This window comes from Homo sapiens, chromosome 3, assembly GCF_000001405.40.
Source record: "Homo sapiens chromosome 3, GRCh38.p14 Primary Assembly".
Taxonomy (NCBI): Eukaryota; Metazoa; Chordata; class Mammalia; order Primates; family Hominidae; genus Homo; species Homo sapiens.
Window position 1 is genome coordinate 81,215,293 of NC_000003.12, and position 6,424 is coordinate 81,221,716.

At 35.2% G+C, this 6,424-nt stretch overlaps 1 annotated feature.

Annotated features, from left to right (window-relative positions):
- Positions 438-1,637: an enhancer, noted in NCBI's record as "MED14-independent group 3 enhancer chr3:81264881-81266080 (GRCh37/hg19 assembly coordinates)". NCBI's record gives its function as "activates an origin of replication core promoter dependent on BRD2, BRD4, P300/CBP and CDK7 cofactors, and independent of MED14, by STARR-seq in HCT116 cells {active_cell/tissue: HCT116}" and the evidence as "EXISTENCE:reporter gene assay evidence [ECO:0000049][PMID:35650434]".

Genomic DNA, 6,424 nt, shown 5'->3' on the forward strand with positions numbered 1-6,424 from the left:
CAGTGCCAGATCTTTGTAGAAAACATAAAAAGTTAAAGATTTTCTGGGTGCCTCACTTTGATTATTTCAGTAACATTGCTAATAATTTCCCATCCCACCCCCATTTGCCCTAAACCTGTTCAGGTCCTGAGCATGAGAAATGCATATTTTGGCTAGATGTGGTAAAAATCTTGTACTCTGTATCCTAACCTTTTTGATAACAAAATAATAGGCATGAAAATGAAAAAGGCAACCGGAAGATCACAATTAGTAAGAAAAAGCACAGAAACGAAAATGAAGTGGAACTAAAGGCCTCATCATGGATCTTTGTGATGCCAGCAGGTTCCAAGCTTCTAGCAATTTCTCCTCACTGGCCCTGTTTCCCTATTTCTCTCCTGTTTTCTTTTCGTCTTGTTTCCATGAGGGCTCCCCAGCTTGCTTTTCTTCATCAGTACTCCAGCAGTTCCTTCTAGAAGATCTTCCTGTGCTAGGGAGAACAGCCTTCTTGCCACAGTTTCACCAGCTGCTCAGCACTGATGCTGGCATCTCCTATTTAGGGCCTGTTTTTTTTTTTTATGCCCCCCACCCCGATCCCGCTTCCATACTCAGCAAGCAGCTGATTTCCTTTAGCTCCAGTTTAACAGCGTTAACTCAAAGCCCCCGTGTGACAGAAACTTAAAAGAACATCCATCATGGAACTCTTTGCATATATGGAATGGAGAGAAATCTAAAAACCACACAGAGAGGAAGGAGCCCCTTACATGCCTTCACCCATATAAAGGGGGGAAAAAAAGTTTTCCCAGCATAGGTGGGATGGAGGAGAAGTGAGAGGCTTTCCTTAAACCAACTCTGAGGACATGCTTGAACTTTACAGTGCATGTTCAGCTTTAATCAGAAGATCTCTGCACAGCCTCAAGACCTAACCTCAGTTTCCAGCACGCAGCACTCACTGTGCCTTATCCTGTAACATCAGTGAATGCTCGGGTGCACATATGCACAGTAGCTGACTTTACAAAATGGGTAGAAATGGCACTCCAGGGCCAGAGCTTGCCCTTTGTTTAAGGATGGATCAGATTCATGTTACAGTTTATTGTTTTTAAGATTACAAAAGTGTGAGGTTAGTTCTCTTGCCTATAATTCATCAGTCCTTTGAATCATCAAATGACATGATGACTCATGAATTTCTTCCTTCATAGGTCATATTTTAATCTTATACGAATTTCATATGAAAAATGAGAAAAGCATCCACTCATCATACAAAAGGGACACGAGTGAGTTTGGACTGAAAAAAAGATGACAAAAAGGAAAAAGAACCCAGCCAATAATGCAGCAAAATTCTATTCTTTGACGGTCTTATCCACTGGAATAGTCAGAGGTAAGTAAATACACAGTTTTCTTCATATTAGTGAGGAGATCATCCTTCTCTTTAGTCAAACTCAGAGTCTTAGTTTTCTTTTTTGCACCAAGTTTATTTGTTTTTCATTTTCCACTTGGTAAAATATAACTTCTGCTGAGGCTGGTTACTTAAATGTTCTATCTTGAGTTTAATTGTAATCACGTGGCATTTTAAATCTGAAAATTCACAAAAAACTTTTATTTAAATCATTTAAAAAGATCCCTTTCCAACTATTGAAATTTAATTATTATAAGAACAGTACCACTATGTTAAAATATAATCACCTTACTCCTTTTGGCTTCATGACAGTGTTCATAAAGTGCTTAATATTCATGTAACATGCTACCTCACCCTGTAATATCACTATATTTATGGAAAGAAAGTGTAATCCTCTTTACTGGCTCAGGTTAATTCCAATAAAATGTTACATCCATTTTCTAATCTAAATGAGTTCATTAGGAGAGGCATGGTACTGAGAATACCAAACTCTCTACAGAGTTCAGCTTCATTACATTTCCGCACTGTGCGTTTCCAGAGCTGTTGTACTACATTTATGAGGATTTATCTGTACTGTTCCAAAAACATTCATCCTAATTCTACTCCTTCTGTGCATGCTAATCATGAATATGTTAAGTGGAAATACTAAGCTTGTAGCCAATCTCATCCCCAGATGGGTTCAAGTTATGATTACAGAAGCAAATTTGCCATAAGCACTCTTAGAGCAGTGCCAGGGAGGAGGAAATGAAGGTCTGGAGCAGCACTCAGGAGAAAAAAAAAAGAAAGTAAAAAGACAGTTTGAGACAGAGTAGGAGTGTCATAGATGTTAGAGACATAGAATAAAAAAAGGTATTTCCAGATTGCTGTGTCTCAGAAAGACTTCCAATAAATTATAAATAGACCTGTTCTGAAGAAATTTGAAATAGATGCAAGAATCAAACCATTACCTTTAAATGTTTGGAGTCTCCACAAGTCTATAATCCAGAGTTGAACTTTACATTATTCATCTTATTATATCTAGCAAATCTTCACTCCACTAAGGCTTCCATTTGAATAAAATAATGGACCTTTTAGGAAGGAAGACAAGACCAACCTGGGATGTTCACATCGTAAATAATTATACAATCCCCAACTGTCTGCCCATGGAGTGCCTTCACTTCTTTTATTTATTTACTTATAGATTTTTACATATACCTAGCAGATTTGTTTTCTTTCCTCTAAGGTAAGAGAAGCAATAATAGGTTATTTGATTCATGTATCACAGAGGGTGAAACCATCAAGAATCCTTATCACCTCCTTTATGTTAGCATGTGCAGTGACTTCATGGTAAAACCATTTTAATCTACATTTTGTGTATTTAGTCAACAAAACAAAGATTTCCCAAATAGGTTGTAGATATCAACCTATTTTAGTAGAAAAATGAGATGAAGATGAACAAGAAGCAAGATGTTTCTGACTGTTGGTTATTAAAGCCAGATACAGGTTCATCTTCATAAAGTCTGCAATAAAGGGTGAGCCTAAAGTGAAAGGCAGCAGCCACTGGTTGTCACTGTTGTACCACAAAACAGCAATTGCAGGTCTATTCTTTCAAAAGGCTGCCTTTTGAGAACAGTTTGAAATGATGTATTTGACTATTTGGTTTATCATTAAAACTGAGCACACAAACCTGCAAGGCTCCACGGATTGCAGTCTAGTAGTAGACATTTTGATGTGGGAGTTTGACAGAAAAATAGTTCTATATGAATTACATTGAAATATGAAATAAAGATTTCATTATCTACTTAAACAAATATTCTGTTTTTAAATGGTCATGTGAGATACATGCTACATCTGTTAATTAAAGCACACATTCGTTCTGATGTTTAAACTAAATAGTATTATGGTAATGCCTAGTGTATATAATTGATCACTTCAAGGCTTAGATACATTACTCAAATGAAGTGTTTTCTAATGATTGAGCTTATATCATTTTTAAGCAGTAGATGAGTAGACAGCCTGACATAATCTTCCCTTTCCCAAATCTGATTAAAACTGGCAAGACAAGAAATCAATGGGATCCTGAATATAAAATCCCCAAATATCCTGCTGTGTTTGAAATTAATTAAGTACTGTGAGGCAGAAGCCTCAAATCAATAAACATCAATGATGGTAGTGTTAAAGATGGGAAGAGTTGGCAAGAAATCAGCCTGGTGTTCATGGTTGTAAGATGATTGTCTACTCTAAGAAATTAAAGTTTAAAATTAGAACAATTGTGCTTAGGCAAAATGCAGAGACAGGTTTTGAAAGGCAAGAACAATGACTGTGTTTCTGAAGACAGTCTTCTAAATTTGGAAAATTATACTTCTTAAGAAAACATGAAATAGTACTTCAATTGTACCTTCAATGAAATCAGATCTTTCCAAATTGAGTCAATAATCAATTTAAAAAATGGACATTGGTGTCTTCCAGAGATCACAGTGAGAGTGCCATGGAGTAGGTGGGGAAGCTAAAAGTATCAGTGGTGTTTTATATATCATTTCTACATAACTAGCTCAACTATGGAGTCTACTTTCACATGAGTTTTCCAGATTAAATACTATTGTTTTTCAAGGTCATTTTTTCTTGCGTTATCTCTATATTCTCTACTTCTTTCCCTTGTTTCTTTCTTTTTAACTTCTTGCTTTCTTGCTTTCTGTTTTTCTTAACCTCAGGCATAAGCTGTAATCCAAAAGCAATGAGGTAAATGCATAATCAGGAAAGAATATAATTAATGCTACCTATGTTGTTAAGTAATAAACATGTCACATTATTGAAATTTTTCTGATTAAAAATAGGTAAATATGTAAAGAAATCATTACAGTCATACCTCTTGTGTGGGATTCTATTTTCATCCAGAGGTAAACATTTTAAATACATTGATTTTTTCCTTAATATGGCAAATGAGAATAATTGTCTTCTCTTGAAAGAGGCAATCACAGTGGCAGAAACAATTTCACAAGGAAGAGATTTATGTCCAAACAATTATACTATACAAAGAAAGCTTATCAATAATGGTATCTATTCATATAAACTTCTCAATGTGTTCTTTAATCCAAATGTTTTTAAAGTCAGAGGAAGAGTAGCCACATAATCAATACAGGTACTTGTGAAAAATGACAGTTTCAAGCCTTTACATGAGACCTAGAGAATAAAGATCTCTCCATACAGCCTCTAAATACATATTTTCAACAAACTTGAAATGATTAGGAGCATTAAACTTTGAGAGCCACTCTTTCTGTCTCATTAAAGAAGAGAAGAAATGAATATATGACATTACAAATGTTATAATTACATCATTTTCATGGTCAATGGAGTCAAACGACCAGGGTTTTATGACTTAGATGAACAGCTCGGAATAGAAGGTAGCTTTATATTAATATTTATTTCCTAATATAATTATATATTTATAATGAGATATTTCATAAACCACATGGAATATAAACTCTAATTCAAGAAAGGGATCTTTTAAAAACATGTAGGATGAAAGGGGTTCTCACTAAATATATGCATTCATTGGCCACAATAACAACAACCAAAAAAAGGTCTCCACATTTCTTCTGTCCTGTGTCAGCTTTTGTATCATTGCCCTGTTTACTAAGGTTTTATTAGGTACCAACAGGTTGTTATTAAATTACTTGAGGAAAGTTTCTTCGTGTTCCAATTCTTTGTATGTCTAAACTACTCAGTTCTATTCATGTAGTAGGTATAGGGTAACCATTTGGTGAATTAGGAAGTTAATTAAGCACACACTGCATACTTCCCTAAGGCCATAGATATATTCTTTAAACATTTAGAGTAAAGCACATTTTTGTAAATTAAATAACCTTCAATTTAGTGCTTAAAGTAAAATCATTTAATATCCAACTACACTCTAGTGCCACACGACCTCTATGTCCTCTGAAAGAGGTGCAATGAATGCATAAATAGCCTCAACCAGATGCATAAATAGCCTCAACCAGAGGAGAAGGGACATAAAAGATTGGAAGGAAAGAAGGCATCAAGGTGTAGTGCAGACATGGCCAAGCTGAGATTTAAGGCTGTGACCCTTTCTAGTCTCCTCTCCATTTTAGAGTTAGAAGCCACCTTCAGGTTGTAGGGGGGACACAAGCCAGCTAGCTAGAAGACTAGAATTCCCAACTTGCCTGGCGGCTAGGGGTGGCCATGTGACTGAGTTCTCTCCATAGGAATATGAGATTGCACATATCATTTTCATAAAAGGGAATTCCTTTCCCTTTTTATTTTTATTTTCTTCTCTAGGAAGTTAAAATGCTAGCACAGTGGTGACCCAGCCTCAGTCTTGATGAACTATAACACTCTAGAGGAAGCACAGTAATGTAATAGAAGAAATCTTGGTACTTACCAGATGGATGAGAAGAAAGTACAGTTTTAGCTTGTCTGAGGTGCTACATTTTTAGCCCCTCTATCTTAGCCTATAACTGAATTAGACCGCACACAAAAATATGTTGTAACTATGTTTAAATGCATTAATTCACTCCATTTTTTTCATCAATGAGTTGACTGATCATAGTGCTGACCAGAAGGAATAAGAGGAAGTTTAATTGGTGGAGTGAGAGAAACTCCAAAATAAGGAAGCATAAAAAGACAGTCAAAATCTTGGAAGAGAATTGAGAAGAATGTTTGTCCTACTGAATAAGAGAACTTGAGGGCAGGCAGCATTCTTTAGTCTAAAGATAAAGTGAAATGTTTGATATTTTAAAGTGAAAAAAACTTAGCTCTTGTCTTCCCTGGGGATAAATGTCATATCCAGAAGATACCTGGAATAAATACAAATTATTTAATAATTACTTAATAAAATTAGATAGCATGCAGTGTATGAATGAAATCAAAAGTAAAAAAAGCCCCAATTTAAAGTAATTTAAAGAATACTTGGCTCCCCGTTGTAACTCATTTAATACTATGTTTTAAGACAGACACTTTTATGTCTTAAAAATGAGAGTGATACCTGACTACTTCTAATATATGAAATAGTTATATCTTAAACTTAGATTTTAAAGTACACATACTAACACTGTG